We start from the raw sequence: 18,105 nt of genomic DNA on the forward strand, positions 1-18,105 counted from the left end.
GTAAAATATCTGTTCATGTCTCTCCCAAAGTTTTAGACTGGGTTGTTTAGTCTCACTAATTTAGTAGGAGGTTATATGTATATGTATTTTGCATCCTAAGTCTGGGTTAAATTTGTTGCAGATATCTTATTCCAGTTTGTGCCTAATTGGTCCTTAAAGCAATCCTATTAGATATTTTATTGCCCCCATTTTACAGATGAGAGAGTACTGCTTAGTATGTTAAAAGGAAAGGCCTTGAAGTCAGCCTCCAGGGTGACATTTTTGTTACAAAGAATAGCATTTGCAAAGGTGTACAATTATGAATCAGCATGATGCTTTGCTCAACCTACCTGTTGTACCCCTTCCCCTCCAAATAATTGAGGCTTGGAAGAATTTACAAGTATTTTTATTTACTTATAAATTTTTATGTAACTGTGACTTTTGCTATGAGTGGACTGAGGACGTTTGATGTGAGAGGACTTGCCTGGAGTGACAGAGTAGGCAGTAAGTTCAGCCCCAAGTTCTTTCTAGTCTTATCTGCCCTCCTTATTCCTCAATTTTTTTTCCCTAAATTATTCGTTTGGATCAACCAGGTTCTGCCAGCATATTCAAAATCCATCTTAAATGTAGTGGCGAAATATTTTGCAAAATTATAATAGAAGCCAGAGATTTATAATTAATATTCAAATGTTTGCATTATATACTTTAAAAAGAACATTGCAGGTCGGGTGCGGTGGCTCACACCTGTCATTTCCACACTTTGGGAGGATCACTTGAGGTCAGGAGTTCGAGACCAGTCTGGCCAATATGGTGAAACCCCGTCTCTACTAAAAATACAAAAAATCAGCCGGGCATGGTGGTGCATGCCTGTAATCCCAGCTACTCGAGAGGCTGAGTCACAATAATTGCATGAACCCTGGAGGCGGAAGTTGCAGTGAGCTGAGATCGTGCCACTGCACTCCAACCTGCATGACAGAACGAGAGTCCATCTCAGAAGAACGCTGTAGGCACGCATCAAGTACAACTCAGTTGGTTTAAACTGAAATGCCACAGAACAATTCTGAATTCCAAAATGCAAAGCTTTGGATAAAACAGCCTGAACAAGTACAAAAAGACAATAAATTTGTAGACACTTCTTCCCAACCTTCAAATTAGGAAGATTTGTTCTGTGTAAAAGTATAGTTTCTGATCCTTAAAATTCTATGTGTTGAAGGCACCTCAGCATATCTCTGCAGTGTAAAAGCAGTGCTTCAGGCAGCATGACTTATTTTCATGTCACCTCAGATTTCTTGGATCTAATATTCAAAGACAGAGTGGAAATAATAATACTTAGTGGAAGGATTCTTGGACATGTAATGAAATGCAGAGCATCTTGAGACTTTTGACCAAGTAATGTTTGGTCATTTACCTTCCTGTTTGGTTGGAACAGGAGTGGTGATTCCAGCCATTGCATGATTGAGCCTCATTTGTTTTTATTCTTTCCTGCCCCGAATTCTTCCATTTTAAGTGTCTTAAAGAGGTAGTTATTCTTGCCTAAGAAGTAAACTAAAGTATAACATATTTGCTATAATAATGCTGATATAATGTTACTGTGATAAAGTATAAGTGTCAAGTAGTTTGGCAAAAAGATTTCACCAGGTTGAGCATAGTAACACAGGGAAAATGAGCCATTTAAAACAGGGAAAAAAAATGTTTCTGTGAAACCGGGGAGAAAAAAACAGCCATTTTTTTCCCTGTTTTACAAATGACTCATTTGTAAAATAGGGAACAAAATGAGCCCATTTAAAATTTAATAAATGTATTTTTAACATTTGTATTCTCAAAATAAATTTTAAAATAGAGTATACCAAACATGCTATTCTCTGAGGAGTTTAATGCATGTTATTATTTTACAGAAATTTAAGTTATTTTAAATATGTTAAGGATGGTAAAGCTTCCCTATAGTTCAGTATTGACCACCTCTCCTCAACCTGTCTCTAAAGGTAGGAGAAAACTGATTTATTCTCCTTGTATTCTCTTCTTTCTCTGCTCCGTCATTAGTTTGCTGATATTTTCTGTTCGGAAAGGGGGTGAAGAACCTTCCCCCCTTTGAGGGAGATAAGTTTTGGTTTCCCTGTAATATGGAACAAACTTCATACCTGGCGAGCACAAAGAAATTATTATTTTGCCAAAGTATGTTCTGCAGACCACATATTCCAGAAATTACACTTCTAAGCAAAATAATCTTTGATAATTTGAATTTGGGAAAAAAACTGCTTACTACATTCTTTGATACTGATATGCAATACACATTACCATGTTACAGTCTTAAGAAGTTGTTCAGTTAACTGTTAATTTTATTTAATCTGGTATTTACCGTATTTAATTTATGAATCACTGTAAGATTTTAATTTTTTTTTAATTAATGTTCCATGCAATTCATGGAAAAGACTGATGTAGATGTTTTATTTGATAGATGAGGAGCCTGAGGCCTAAGGCTAAGTAACTTTACCAAAGTCGTAGAGATAATAAAACTAGGACTGACTTTCTTCAGTGTTTTAAATCTTTTTATTTGTTTATTTGAATTACTGCATTAGGAACAAGTATATCCACATTAGGAACATACTTTTTTTTTCAAATGGGACAGTTGAGTATCTGCTCATTGATAGCATCCCCCCTGATTCTCCTGATTTGTCTTGGTGACTAAGTTGAGTATTATACCACTAACTTCTATGATAGTTAAGTTCTCAGGCCTGTATACATTGCTTATTTTGAGTGATTGTTTTATTTTAGTTTACCTTGTGCTGTTGCTTTCCACCGAGACTGTCCTCAGAAAGTTGGTCATTTTGCTTATGAGTTTATTAGTTGTCCAACCACTTTGGCTCTTTCATCACACCAACTTGTGGGCCATGGGATATTATTACTATGGATAATGCTTGTTAGTTATACATTTTATATTTATAGTATATGACTATGGGTCTGACTTAAACGTGTATTATGTATTTCTATATCTAATAATTGTTAGAAATCCTCTTTATATAGTATAATGCATAATCATATGTCTAATTTAGATAATATCTAGTAACAATAAAGAAATGTAAATATAACATGTTTACATATAATATTTATTGGAGATTTGTTTCTATAATATATGAATAGTTATGCCGGACTTAAATATATGTTATACACGTTGTGCGTGCGTTATATAAAGAGAAAGAACACTTGTGCCCATCCCTTCTGCCTACATTATTTAGATTTCCATCTCTATTGGGCTTAGCTGAGCAAAGTGTCACCGGATAGTTTTAATTGATCAAATATACTATTTTGTATGTGATCTTAGATTTTTTTTTCAGATTTTTTTAGTGCCATTAAAATGCTCTAACAGCCTCTTATTTTGTTGTAATTTTTTTTGTTGTCAGTTGCTTTTTCTTTTTTCCAATTAGTTTAGTAAATGTCCTTTATAAATCAGAATAGACCCTCCTTTTTCAAATGGATACTGATAAAAATTGACAGCTGTCACTGCCAGTTAAGGCAGAAATTAAGAGATGGTACTAAAATAGGAATCCTGTTTTCAGTTAATGTGTGTTTAAAAGTTTTGCCCTGTGTGTTCTTTTTTGATTTGCACATGCATCTGACTTTAAATTGGAAGATGCAGAGTAGCTCTAAGGAGTCTTCAAGACATTTTTGCAGCCTTTAAACAACCTTTGGTTTTCTCTCTGTGTTGCTCAAAGTAGAGAGACAGGTACTTTGTTATCTGAAGCTTATGACATGCTCTCTGCTTCAATCAAAATGACCACCCATCAGTTGCAAGAGCAGAGAGAGAGGTTTGTGAGAGTAGTCTGAGATCCAGTTGCAACTGTACAGTGTCACATTTATGGTGGTATGACATTTGTGAGTCTTTCCCTTCAGAGTTAACCTAGTAAAAAAAGTTATTCTCATATATCATTAGTAATCCTTATGAATTTCTATCATTGTTTTCCTGCTGTTACTTAAACACTGATAGGAATTTATGTAATCATATTAGGCTTGAGCATAACTCTCTCATGAGTTTCCATATTTTAAGTTATAAAATTGGCTATGTTTAATGTGATTATCTAGACAGTGCTCGTGTGTATCACTTGGTGAGATTGAATTTAGGCTGTTTTTTTCGTTCTATTGAAGGGGGATTTTTTTTTTCCATGTGTTACTTTTAATAGAGTTCATCAGTCTGGCATCCTTTTGTTTTTGATCCTGCCACTAGATGGCAGGAGCAATAAAAGGTAGATTGAAATGCCAACTTTAGTTGGCCTTAGCTGCTTTGTACTTTACCTTGGTTGTTCTCTGTCCCTATTAGTGCTGAATTTTGGGTATATATGAAGTGTTGCAAATAGTGGTACTTAGTCCTATAAGAAAGATCTGGTACCTTATATAGCCTGAGAGGGCCTACTAATAGGGTAAAGGAGAAAGAATAGAATAATCCTTGAGGTGTTCTAACACTTTGTCTTTTGCCTTTTACTTTTCTATTTTTCTTCTCCCTTTGTTGAATTGTACTCCTTTCCTTTATTTCCTGATTGTGGTTTTTGGGTGTTTTTTGTTTGTTTGTTTGTTTGTTTGTTTGGTTTTTGATAGGGTCTTGTTCTGTCACCCACAGTGGAGTGCAGTGGTGTCATCTCGGCTCACTACAACCTCCGCCTCCCAGGCTCAAATGATCCTCCCACCTTAGCCTCTCAAGTAGCTGGCACTACATGCGCATGCCACCACGCCTGGCTAATTTTGAAAAATTTCTGGTAGAGACAGGTTTTGCCATGTTGCCCAGGCTGGTCTTGAACTCCTGGGCTCAAGTGATCCACCCACCTTGGCCTCTCAGAGTGCTGGGATTACCTGCATGAGCCACTGTGCCTGGCCTCTTTCCTGATTCTTTTATGCTTACGTTAGCATCCATAATTGGTCATTTCTGTTGGTGGTACTAGTCGCTTTCTCATTTACCGTTCCCACGAATACATGTTAACTTGGCCAGTTTTGGTAGTCGTATGTGTAACAACAAACTGTTATAGGTGGCTTTGTAAATCTTTACAGAAAGGGTTATTTTCAAGAGAGCCTGTTAATTGATAGTCTTTGAAGAACAGAGTGATAGACAGAGTCTAGGGTGATGGGATGTTGCTTCCGTGATTATGTGACGTTGTGTAAAACTTTGTCTTACCAGTAGACTTGCACCAGAGACTCCTTGCTGGCATTATAAGATAAGCAGCCCTGTTAGGGAAGCCTATGTGGCAAGGAACTACTAACAGCCTCTATGATGTTTCCACCAACAGCCAGGAAGAAACCAGGGCCCCTCAGTCCTATAACCTCAAGGAAGTGAATTCTGCTAGAAGCCTGAGTGAGCTTGGAAGCAGATTATTTCCCTAATTTAGCCTCCACATAAGAACCCAACCCTGGTGACATCCTGATGTCAACCTTGTGCGACCCTAAACAGAAGATCCAGCTAAACTGTGCCTAGATTCCTGACCCATGAAGCTATGATAGAATTAGTATATGTTGGTTTAAGCCACTGAGTTTGTTTAAAATTGCTGTATAAGCAATAGGAAACTAATACAAATACCCTTCGTAAACCTTTCTTTCCATCTCTGAATGTTACTACCTAACTTCTCTCTGATCTCATGTAATCAAAAAATATTGATTGAATACCTCTTACTTGCCAGGGACTATGGCTACAGTAGTGTGAACCCAAATAGACATGATTCTAGTTTAGTGAGGGAGTTAGACTTGAACCAGTAAGAATGACCAATGCTGTCAAGGAACATGATACAATGAGAGCTTATAATAGGGAGATAAACTAAACACATTGTCTTTTTAGGAATCCTTATTTGACTTTTAAAAACTTATACTTACTACATTGCTTTCTTACCTTTTTTTTTAAAGCATATTTCTGCCATCACAAAACTTGTTCTATCTTTATTTTCTGTTAGCATTATGAAAACTACCTATGTGTATTTTTTAACCCTTACGAGTGTTCTTTCCTCTCTCAAGAACACTTCTCCTCTTTTCCTGCCTTTTTGCTCAATAATTCATCCAGGTTTAAGTTAGATGTCAGTTGTAGAAGCCATCCACGAGTCCTTTGGACAGTAAGCTTTGTGAGGACAGGTCCGTCCTGTTTGCTAGTATCTTTAGCACCCAGTGTGATACATAAGATAGGCTCTTAAAACCAAATAAGGCCGGGCACGGTGGCTCACGCCTGTAATCCCAGCACTTTGGGAGGCCGAGACGGGCGGATCACGAGGTCAGGAGATCGAGACCATCCTGGCTAACACGGTGAAACCCCGTCTCTACTAAAAATACAAAAATTAGCCGGGCATGGTGGCGCGTGCCTGTAGTCCCAGCTACACGGGAGGCTGAGGCAGGAGAATGGCGTGAACCCGGGAGGCGGAGCTTGCAGTGAGTCGAGATCGCGCCACTGCACTCCAGCCTGGGCGACAGAGCGAAACTCCGTCTCAAAAAAAAAAAAAAAAAACCAAATAAAACTTGATAGGGAGGAACTGGAACTCCTGTACATTGCTGATGGGAGTGTAAATGGTAACTATTTTGGAGAACTGTTTAGTATTTCTTAAATACGTGTCTACTATATAACTTTGGAGTGGAATTGCTAAGTATTCACCCAAAGAAGTGAAAACCTGTGTCCTTAAAAAAGGCTTTTACAAGAATGCTTGTTCATATTTTATAAGAATGAATGTACAGCCTTATTATTTCCTCCCCCGGAAACAACCCAAATGCCCTTCAGAAGGGGAATGGATTGTAGTATGCATTAAATGGAATACTACTCAGCAGTAAAAAAGAATAAACTGTTGGTATATGAATATATCTCAAAAACATGTTAAATGAAAGAAGCCTGATTCACCTTTTTAAAAAGTAGAATTACGATTATTCCATTTATCTGAAATCCGAGAACAAACATAATGAATCTATGGTGAAAGAAGTCAAAGTATGCTTGGAAAGAAGTGCCTAAAGGTGCATGTGGGAACTTTCATCATGAGGGTGATGTTATGCATACAGTTGTCAAACCTCATCTAATGAAACATGTCAATTGGTGTATTTTAAAGCATCTAAATTATACTTTAGATTTTAAAAATGAAAAAAAATGAGCGAAGAAGGTATCCTTTAGTACCCCCTGGGTTCTCTGCTTAATTATATTTTCTTGTTGCCTCTTCCTCCTGTGAGATTGTCAGCTCTGTGAGGTCAGGGACCAAGTTTGCCTGTGGTTCTTAGAATTGTGTACTTGTATGCAGAATGCCCAAGTTTATTGGCCCTGAAGTGAATAGTTATTTGAGATCTATAATCTATTCATAGATTATATCCATATTTTATGGCTGCATTTTTAAGAAAAATATTTGCATTATTACAGAATCTTACATTCAGTGTTTTTCTTTATGTAGCTTCTAGCTTTTTCTGTTCTAGGATTCACAAAAGACATCTGTTTAAGTGTTGGTAGAGTAGTCTTGCTCCAACTACAATTTTGCCAACCACAGTTTGAGATAGCACAGTGCTATATTTGTAAACCAAAGTTTAAAAATCAGATTTTAAGAAACAAATTGTGGTTTATTTTATTCTCCTTAAAAAAATGAAAACTCAATATTAATCTTGTTTTCTTGTGAATCCCTTCCTGCCAGTTCTTAACTTTTTGAGCCAATGGAAAAAATGAGCCTTGGTCATTTAATCTTTTTGATCAAAAGCCCTTAAACACCAGAGTAATTTGAAAAAGAACCAGGTGGTTACATAGCTTTTTGTCTAACTAGTACTATCTCTCGTTGTTGTTGTTTGTTTTTGTTTTGCTGTTTTGTTTTCCCTGATGAAAATAATACTAAATTTTAAATGATTTAATGGCCGTGTCAAAAACTTGAAAGATAAGTGTGTAGATAGTCTGAATTTCCCAAAACCGCGTCAGCAGCTCCAAGGTGTAATTTCTCTGAAACTTTAAGAAGGTAACTCAGAGCAGATTTTTCAGTGCTGGTGAGTTTTAATTTATTCATCAAGTAGATGGCTTTTTATTGTGATTTATGTTGGAGGTCTTCTAAAAAATAATTTTGAAATTCTGCAAAACTTTTATGCACTCTTTTCTGGTAAGAGAATCCATATTTTCATCAGATTCTTACAGACCCTCACCCAGAAAGATTAAAAACCCTGCCTTTACCTCTATTTTCTCTAAGATTTTTATTTTGCCAGCTGCTGGTTTTGCCAACTTTAAGAAACATAACAGCCCTAAAGTCAACAAGAATTTATTCTATAGTGATTGTTTACCTATATTGACCATCAGTATGTATTTGATATGTTTGTTGGGTCTGTTTTCTTCATGATTGTTTTTACTCTCTTTTTGACCTTCTTGGGTGCAGAACTGGATCATAATTACTGGATTCCACTGACTGGCCTCTCTGCCTCTGTGTTCCAAACCATTCCAGACATATAAGAATGATGAAAAAGAAATATTCCCATCAGCATACCTGGTTTTTGTTTTGCAACCTCTGGTTAGAATATACTTGTTCTCAATTATAGTACCAATTTTGTGGGGAATATATATCCTTCTTGGCAAGATGTTTAGGAATGCCAAAATCTAAAACTGTGTGGCTGCATGCATATCCTGTCACCTGCTCACTTACTCTGTGCTGCCTCTATTTCAAATCCTCTTGTTATTCTTGAGGTGGTTCCTAGCTATAAAAACCTATGAAAAGATAAAAATAACATGATTCTTGCAAAAAATTGTTAGGATAAGCTTTATATTTAAAGAAAATTCATGAGTCTGCATTTTGATATCTGTATTCTATTTTAAGAACACTGTTAGATGTTGATACACTTAATCAAAACTTAATTTGATTAAGGAAATAGCGTTTCTTTCTTTTTCTCCTTGATAGTTCTGTTACTCCTGCTTCTCTGTTTTGGCCCTGATTGCTGGGAAACTAAGTCACATTACACATTTGAATCATAGGCCCTTATTACTTAAATATTTGTGTGTTTTATCCAATCTCAACTTATTTATACTTGTCTTGTTCTTTAGTCTTTTTACATTATCTTTGTTTTATTATGTATTTTTGTGGAACCAGAAAAGTGATAAACTAGGACACCCTTAAAGGTCTCAGAATCTTAAACATTAGTTAACATCACTTTATTTTATTGATATATAATATTTTACATATTTAATGGTGTACATATCATATTTTGTAGCATACATAGAATGTGTAATGATCCAGTCAAGTTATTTAGGGGTATCCATCTTGAGTATTTATTATTTCTACGTGTTGGGAACATTTCAAGTTCTCTCTTTTAGCTACTTTGAAATACATAGTAAATTGTTGCTAGCTATGGTCACCCTACTCTGCTATACAACATTAGAATTTATGCCTTGTATCTAACAGTATTTTTGTACCCATTGACCAATCTCTCTTCATCTCTGCTTCTCTCCTATCCACCATACTTTGCCTAGCCTCTGGTATCTGTCTACCTCACTGAGATCAACTTTTTTTTTTTTTCCGTTCCCACGAATGAGTGAGAACTGTGAAATTTGTCTTTCAGTGTCTGGCTTATTTTACTTAACATAATGACTCCAGTTCCATCCATGTTGCTGCAGATGACATACTTTTATTCTTTTTATGGCCAAATAATATTCCATTGTGCTTATATACCACACTTCCTTTATTCATTTGTCTGTTGATGGACTCCTAGGTTGATTCTGCATCTTCGCTGTTGTGAATAGTGCTGTAGTAAACGTGTGAACGCACGTGTCCCTTTGATGTACTAATTTCTTCTCCTTTGGATAAATACCCAGTAGTGGGGTTGCTGGATTATATGGTAGTTCTATTTTTAGTTTTTGGAGAAATCTCCACACTCTTTTCCAAGTGGCCATATAATTTATGTTCCCAAAGCAATGTATAAGAGTTCTGTTTTCTCTGCACCCTTGTCAGCATTTGTTATTGTCTTTTTCAATAATAGCCATTCTAACTTGGGTAAGATGATACCTAATTGTGATTTTTATTTGCATTTCTCTGATGATTAGTGACGTTGAACATTTTTTCATATGCTTCTTGGCCATTTGTATGTCTTCTTTTGAGAAATATCTGTTCATGTCCTTTGCTTATTAATGTGATGATGATGATGATTTACTGTTGTGTGAGTTCTTTCTAGGTTCTGCATATTAGTCCCTTGTTGAATGAATAGTTTACAGTATATTCTGTCTTTCAGTAGGTTGTGTCTTCACTCTGTTGATTATTTCCTTTGCTGTGCAGAGTTTTTTGGTTTAATACAGTGCCATTTGTCTCTTTTTGTTTTTGTTTTCTGTGCATTTAAGGTCTTAGCATAAAATCTTTGCCTTGACCATTATCCTAAAGTGGTTTTTTATTGTTTTCTTCTACTTTTATAGTTTGGGATCTTATGTTTAAGCCTTTAATCCATCTTGAGTTAATTTTGCATAAAGGGAGAGAGATAGAGGTCCAGTTTCATTTTTCTACATATCGATATCCAATTTTCCCAGCACCATGTATTGAAGACTATGTCCTTTCCCCAGTGTTCGTTCTTGAAGCCTTCGTTGAAAATCAGTTGGCTGTAAATATGTGGATTTACTTTTGGATTCTCTGTTCTGTGCCATTGGTCTGTGTCTTTTTATACTAAAACCATGCTGTTTGGGTTACTGTAGTCTTATAAAATCAGGTAGTTTGGCCTCCAGCTTTGTTCTTTTTGCTCATGGTTGCTTTGGCTATTCTCACTCTTCCTTGGTTCTTTATTAATTTCAGGACTGTTTTTTCTATTTCTGTAACAAATGACATTGGTATTTTGATAGGGCTTGTGTTCAATCTGTATGTATACTGCTTTGGGCAGTATGCTCATTTTAACAATACTAATATTTCCGATCCATGGGCATGGGATGTCTTTCCATTTGTTTGTGTCCCTTTAATTCTTTTATCATTGTTGCGTAGTTTTCCTTATAGAGATCTTTCACTTCCTTTGTTAAATTTATTTCTAGGTATATATATTTTTATTTTTATTTGTTTATTTATTTTTTTGAGACGGAGTCTTGCTCTGTTGCCCAGGCTGGAGTGCAGTGGCGCAGTCTCGGCTCACTGCAAGCTCCGCCTCCCGGGTTCACACCATTGTCCTGCCTCGGCCTCCCGAGTAGCTGGGACCACAGGCGCCCGCCACCATGCCTGGCTAATTTTTCACATTTTTAGTAGAGACAGGGTTTCACTGTTAGCTAGGATGGTCTTGATCTCCTGACCTCGTGATCCGCCCGCCTCAGCCTCCCAAAGTGTTGGGATTACAGGCGTGAGCCACTGTATTTTTTATATCTATTGTAAATGGGATTGCTTTCCTGATTTCTTTCTCAGCTAGTTTGTCATTGACATATAAAAATGAATCAGTACATGATTTTTATATGTCGATTTCGTATCCTGCAACTTTACTGAATTTGCTTATTAGCTCTAAGAGTTTTTTGGCAGAGTCTTTTGGTTTTTCCAAATATAAGATCAGGTGATATGCAAAGTGGGACAGTTTAGCTTTCTCTTTTTCAATTTGGATGCCTTTTACTTTTGTCCTCTTACCTGATTGCTCTGGCTAGGATATCCAGTAGTATGTTGAATAGGAATGGTGAAAGTAGATATCCTTGTTTTCTAGTTCTTTGTGGAAAGGCTTTCAACTTTTCTTAATTCAGCATGATGTTAGCTCTGGGTTTGTCATATATGGCGTTTATTATTTTGAGGTGTGTTTTATGCATAGTCTGAGAGCTTTTATCATGAAGGGATCTTGCAAATTCAAGATTAAGTTCAAAATTAAAAAATCAAATGTTTTCTCCTTATTGAGATGATCATAGGGTTTTTGTCTTCATTTTCTTGAAGTGATGTATCATATTTATTGATTTGTGTCTGTCGAATCATCCTTGCTTCCCTGGTATAAACCCATTTCATCATGGTGTATTATCTTTTTGATGTACTGTTGGATTTTGTTGAGAAATTTTGCATCTGTGTTCATCAAGGATATTGGCTTTTAGCCAGTTGTAGTATCCTTGTCTAGTTTTGGTATCTGGGTAATGCCTCATAGAAAAAGTTAAGGAGAATTCCCTCCCCTTCAGTTGTTTGGAATAGTTTGAGGAGAATAGATGTGTGTTTTTCCTTGAAAGTTTGGTAAAATTTGACAGTGAAGCCATCAATTCCTGGACATTTTTTGTTGGGAGAACTTCTATTACTAATTCTGTATCATTACTCATTTATTGGTCTGTTCAGGTTTTTTTTTTTTTTAATTTATTCTTGATTCAATCTTGATAGGTTATGCTTATCCAGAAATTTATCAGTTTCCTGTAGGTTCTCTAGATAGTTGTTCGTAGTAGTCTCTGATGATCTTTTGTATTTCTGTGGTACTAATTTGTAGTGTCTTTGTTTTCATTTCTGATTATAGTTGGGTCTTTCTCTTTTTTCTTGGTTAGTCTAGGAAGTGCCTTATTGGTTTTTTTTTTTTTAAATCTTTTCAAAAGAACCAACTTTTTGTTTTTGTTTCATTGATTCTTGGGGTGTGTGTGTGTGTGTGTGTGTGTGTGTGTGTGTGTGTGTGTGTTGTCTCTTTCATTTAGTTCTGCTCTGATTTTCATGATTTCTTTGCTTCTGATTTGGGGTTTGGTTTGTTCTTTTCTAGCTCCTTGAGGTGCATTATTAGATTGCTTATTTGGAGTCTTTGTATTTTTTTTTTTATGTAGGTGTTGTTTATTGCTATAAACTTAGCATGGTTTTTGCTGTTTCTTATAGGTTTGGGTATGTCATGTTTAGATTTTTGTTTGTTCCAAGAAATTTTTTTTATTTTCTCCTTTAAAATTTTTTCCTTCACCCAGTGGCCATTTGGGAGCATGTTGTTTAAGTTCCATGTATTTGTACAGTTTTCAAGGTTCCTCTTGTTATTGATTTCTCATTTTATTTTGTTGTGGTCTGAGAAGATACTTGATATTGTTTCTTTTTTAATTCGTTAAGACTTGTTTTGTGTTCTATTGTATGGTCTATCCTGGAGAATGTTTCTTGTGCTAATCAGAATAATGTGTATTCTGTAGCTGTTGAATGAAATGTTCATGTCAAGTACATTTTGTCTAATGTGCAGTTTAAATCCAGTGTTTCTTTGGTAACTTTGTCTACATGATCTATCTGATGGTGAGAGTGGATTGTTAAAAGTCCCCAACTATTATTGTATTGGAATATATCTCTTCCATTAAATCTAGTAATATTTGCTTTATATATCTGGGTGTTCCAGTGTTGGGTGCGTATATGTTTAGAATTGTTATTTCTTCTAGTTGAATCCACTTATCATTATATAATTACCTTCTTTGTCTCTTTTTACTGTTTTTTGACTTAAAGCCTGCTTTATCTAAGTGTAGGTACTCGTGCTCACTTTTGGTTTCCATTTGCATTGAATATCTGAATTTATTTCCCTTTACTTTCAGTCTATATGTGTCTTCACAGGTGAGATAAGTTTCTTGTAGGCAGCATATAGTTGGGTCTTTTATTTTTTTAATTCATTCAGCCAGTGTATATCTTTTAAGTGGAAAGTTTAATCCATTTACATTCAGGATTATTATTAATATGTGGGGGTTTATTCCTGTCATTTTATTAATTGATTTCTGGTTATTTTGTTCTGTTCTTTCTCTCATAATTTATCTTTGTGGTTTGGTGGTTTTCTGTAGTAGTGGTAACATTTGAGTCTTTTCTTTGTGTGTGTGTTGCTTTGCCAGTGGTTTTTATATTTTTGTGTGTTTTCATGGTAGTAGATATTGTCCTTTCACTTCCAGATTAAGTACTCCCTTGAGCATTTCTTGTAGGCTAGTGTAGTGATTATGAATTTCCTTAGCTTTTGCTTGTCTGGAAAATATTTTATTTCTCCTTCATTTATGAAGGATAATTTGCTGGATATAGTATCATTAGCAATTTTTTTTTCTTTCAGCACTTTCAATACATTATCCCTTTCTTTCCTGGCCTATAAGTTTCTGCTAAGAAATCTTTTATTAGTCTTATGGGGGTTTCTTTATAAGTGACTAGACTCTTTTCTCTTGCTGTTTGTGGAATTCTCTCCTTATGTTTGACTTTTGACAGTTTGACTGTAATGTATTGTGGATAGAACATTTTGCATTGTATCTGTTTGCAGATTTCTGAGCCTTGTGTCTCTGGATGTCCAAATCTCTTGCTAGACTTGGGAAGTTTTCATCTATTATTTTGTTACATAGGCTTTTAAAATCTTTTGTTTTCTCTTCACCTTCTAGGACACTGAAAATTTTAATATTTGTTCACTTTCTGTTGTCTTTTATGAAGACTTTGTTCATGTTTTTAAAATTTATTTCTTTATTTTTGTCTGACTAGGTTATTTCAAAAGACTTGTCTAAGTTCTGAGAGTTTTCTTCTGCCCCATCTAGTCTGTCATTGAAGGTTTCATATATATTTTTTATTTCATTCAATGAATTCTTATGTTCTAGAATTTCTGTTTGGTTCTTTTTTATGATATCTACCTCTTGAGTAAATTTCTCATTCATATCCTGAATTGTTTTTCTGATTTCTTTATATTGTTTTTCAGAATTCTCTTGTATCCTACTGAGTTTTTTTAGAATAAATAATTTGAGTTCTTTTTCTGGGATTTTGTGAATTTCTTTTTTTTTCAAAATTTTTTATTTTTTAAAAAAATTTTATGGGTACATGATAAGTATGTATATTTATGGGATACGTGAGATATTTTGATATAGACTTACAATGTGAAATAAGCACATCATGGAGAATGGGGTATCTGTCCCCTCAAGCATTTATCATTTAAGTTACAAACAATCCAATTACATTCTTTTTTTTAAAATATACAGTTAGGTTATTATTGACCATAGTCACCCTATTGTGCTATCAAATAGGTCTTATTCATTCGTGCTGGAATTTTTTTGTGTGTGCCCATTTAACCATCCCCACCTCCCCACCAAACCCCCAACTACTCTTCCCAGCCCCTGTTAACCATCTTTCTACTCCCTGTGTCCATGAGTTTGTTGTGAATTTATTTTTTTGATTGGGATCTGTTGCTGGATAATTACTGTGTTCTTTTGGAGGTGTATCATATTTTCTTTTTTATGTTTCCTGTGTTTTTACTTTGGTATCTGCACATCTGGTGTAATGGCATTTTTTGACATTGCTTTTGTTGGAGAGAATTTTTTCCTGAAGATATATGTATGGTGTTGGTTGGATATGGCACTTTGGTATTGATTCTGTGTGTGTGTGGTAGTGTGTAGTCTCCATATGATTTTCTTTTTTTCTGTAAACAGCATTAGTGTGTCTGTGATTTCCCCAGGGGCTTAAGATGTGGTTGTTAGTGGAGGCTGTGGTGAAGTTTTGATGGGGTCAGGGATACCAGGTGTAACAGTCTTTTGGACCCAGTGGTGGCAGCAGTGAACTGAGCATCCCCTCAGTGTTTTGGCCCGAGGGCAGCTTATGCCAGTGACAGCGTTCGTGCATCCAGGCTGATTTTAGGCCTCCAGGTGGCCTGCTTAGGTGCTGGGATTCCAGTGGTGGGTCATGCAGGGGAGGGCAGCTTCTCGAGCCCCTGGGCAGCAGGTGTAGCATGGGTGATTGCAGTAGCAGCGGTGGACAACTCCCTGGAACCTAAGTGTCTGTGCTGGTATTGTGGTGGCTGCAATGAGTTGTGTGGGCTGGTCCCCAGACCTGCAGGTGATGCATGAGTATGGGTCCTAGCTCTGCTGGTAGTGGCAGGTTAAGTGGGCCTGACCTCAGACCCTGGGAGTAGTGTTCAGGTGTCACTGGTGGTGGACTTAGTGAGGTGATCACCAGAGATCATCCACACCTTGGATTGTGTGTTTGGGTACTTGCTTTGGTGGGGGTATGGAGCTAGCTGGGTGGACCGGCTGGCAGTGGTAGGCAAGGGAGGGGTGATCCCCAGTTTGTGGGTGGAATGCTCAGGAGGGGCCAGCAGCAACTGCATTGCAACCCTGCTCTACTAGGGAAGGTGGGGTTGCTTTCCTTCAGAGTAGCTGTAGGCTGGCAACTTGGGGGCGGGGCATGGGTTTCCTGCCTTGGCTCTGCAGCAGCCTGCAGCCCTCAAGTGGCTGTAAGCAATGGAATTTGTCCTTAGCGCAGGTAAAAATTCACAGTCGCCCTCTGCTGGGGTGGGCAGTATCGCTGCCTTGTAGTGGCCCTGGCAGCAGGATGCAGTTTAATGGGGCCTGTGTTCTCAAAATGGCACCATGTTGTAGCTGCTTAGGTTCGAGTGATTCGTGGGATCCAGCATGAGCTGTCTCTCTGGAGCAGTGCTTTCGCGTGGACTTCAGGCAGCTCCCTGTTAGTCTTGGGACCTGAGAGGGTCAAGGAGCTCTCCTGTGGCTAGGATTTTAGGAGTCCTAGTGGTTCCAGTGGGAATGTAGACCTTAGGGGGTCTCTCACCCTTTTTCTGCATTATAAGCCACTCCAGCCTCCTACCTGATCCCAGCCGAACAGGCTTGTTTCCCTCTTTTTCCTTGCTTTTGATGCTTCCCATCACTACTCTCTTGAATTTCATTGTTCTCTCTCAGGTGATCTTTTTTACTCGCTATTGTGGTTCCTCTCCATAGATGAGACAAGTACCAGATACATCTAGTCAACTATCTTCAGCATTGATTTTTATTGGTTTTGATTGCTTATCTAAACTAGTAGAGCAAATTATTTTAGTATGCATGGTGAGTGCCTTTAACATTCAGTCATTTAACAAATATTTATTGTGTGATAACTATGTGCCAGACACAGTACTAAGCATTTGGGATATATACAAGGATCTTTGTTGTGATGGAGCTTATTTTTCAGATAGGCAAGCAAACAAGTAAATAAAAAGATCAAGATAATTTTAGTTAGTGATAAAGGCTATTAAAAAAGTAATATGCTAACTAGTGTTTGATGTGTTTGTAGACCATGGCTATGGGGCCACTACTGTAGATTGAGAAGTGAAAGAAGGCCTTTCTGAGATAATATTTGAACTAAAATCAGAATGACAAGGAATTAGGGCCCTGCAAAGATCTGGGTTAAGAGCATTCCTCTTAGCAGATAAAAAGTTGATATGTTGAAGGAACAGATATAATGCCCCTGTGGCCAGGATAGAGTTAGAAAAGTGGTGTGAATAGTGTTAGGATAGAGCCAGAACAAGTGCTGAAATTGGTAATTGTGGAAATTAGACCCTTATTCAGACGTTTTTTTTGAGATGGAGTCTTGCTCTGTCACCCAGGCTGGAGTGTAGTGGGCGCGATCTTGGCTCACTGCAACCTCCACCTCCCGGGTTCAAGCAATTCTTCTGCCTCAGCCTCCCGAGTAGCTGACTGCAGCAGGTGTTTTCCGTTTCTGTATACAATACTAAATGGTTCTGTGAGTGACTGTTGATGAAAGACTTCAGAGGCCAGAACATGAACCGGGACCCAAACAGCATTGAATATCAAGTATACGGGAGTATTCCCTGAATGAAAATTTAATTAAACCAGTTACACTATTTTAGTGCCCTCTATCTGAATAGTATATTTCTATATAAAAAAAATAGTTTACCTTAGTAAAGTGGGAATGTTTAAACATTTCACATCATTTACAACCTCACACTGGCACTAAATCACTTTGCTCGGGCGACAGTTGTGTAAAAATGCTTTAAAATTGGGTCATATATAAAATAGTTCAGAGGAGCTTTAACACATATTTTATTAACTTTACTATATATACCAGGCACCGTCCTTGGTGCTAGGAGTTGGAAGATTGATTCCTTCATATTTGCCCAGAGGCAAAATGATGTGAAATAGACCCCTGGCTTTGCTGCTTTGACTTGTCTAACCTTGAGTAAGAGCAGGTTACTTAACCTCTTTGTGCTTCCATCTTCTCATCTGTAAATAGGGAATGACAATAATATACATCTCAATAAGTTGTCATAAAGATCAAATTATTAATAACAAAGGTATTTAAGGCATAATAACCACTCATAAAATGTTAACAATTTATTGATTTTGTTGTTTTCATTATTCTCTTAGGCTGGGGGTTTCTTTTCTCAAGGACCTTCCAATCCAGTGGAGGAGACAAATCTGTAAATCAATGCTATTTCGTATATTAGATTGGAAAAGGTAGAATGCAAGGTGCAAAGTTCATCAGGGTTACGTATAAAGGAAGGATTGCCAATAAA

General features: G+C 36.8%; 1 protein-coding gene across 3 annotated transcripts in view, besides 2 other annotated features; it reads left to right on the plus strand.

The window, feature by feature from the left end:
- The window catches only part of STT3B (STT3 oligosaccharyltransferase complex catalytic subunit B), a 104,692-nt gene that overhangs the window by 13,750 nt on the left and 72,837 nt on the right, over positions 1 to 18,105 (plus strand). The window lies entirely within an intron of this gene.
- Positions 761 to 930: an enhancer, noted in NCBI's record as "experimental_69540 CRE fragment used in MPRA reporter constructs". NCBI's record gives its function as "activates a minimal promoter by MPRAs in K562 erythroleukemia cells, with activity observed for both the introgressed and non-introgressed 3:31589012 variant alleles {active_cell/tissue: K562}" and the evidence as "EXISTENCE:reporter gene assay evidence [ECO:0000049][PMID:34662402]".
- Positions 15,096 to 15,265: an enhancer, noted in NCBI's record as "experimental_69549 CRE fragment used in MPRA reporter constructs". NCBI's record gives its function as "activates a minimal promoter by MPRAs in K562 erythroleukemia cells, with activity observed for the introgressed 3:31603347 variant allele {active_cell/tissue: K562}" and the evidence as "EXISTENCE:reporter gene assay evidence [ECO:0000049][PMID:34662402]".

The sequence above is a fragment of the Homo sapiens genome, chromosome 3, assembly GCF_000001405.40.
Source record: "Homo sapiens chromosome 3, GRCh38.p14 Primary Assembly".
Lineage (NCBI taxonomy): Eukaryota > Metazoa > Chordata > Mammalia > Primates > Hominidae > Homo > Homo sapiens.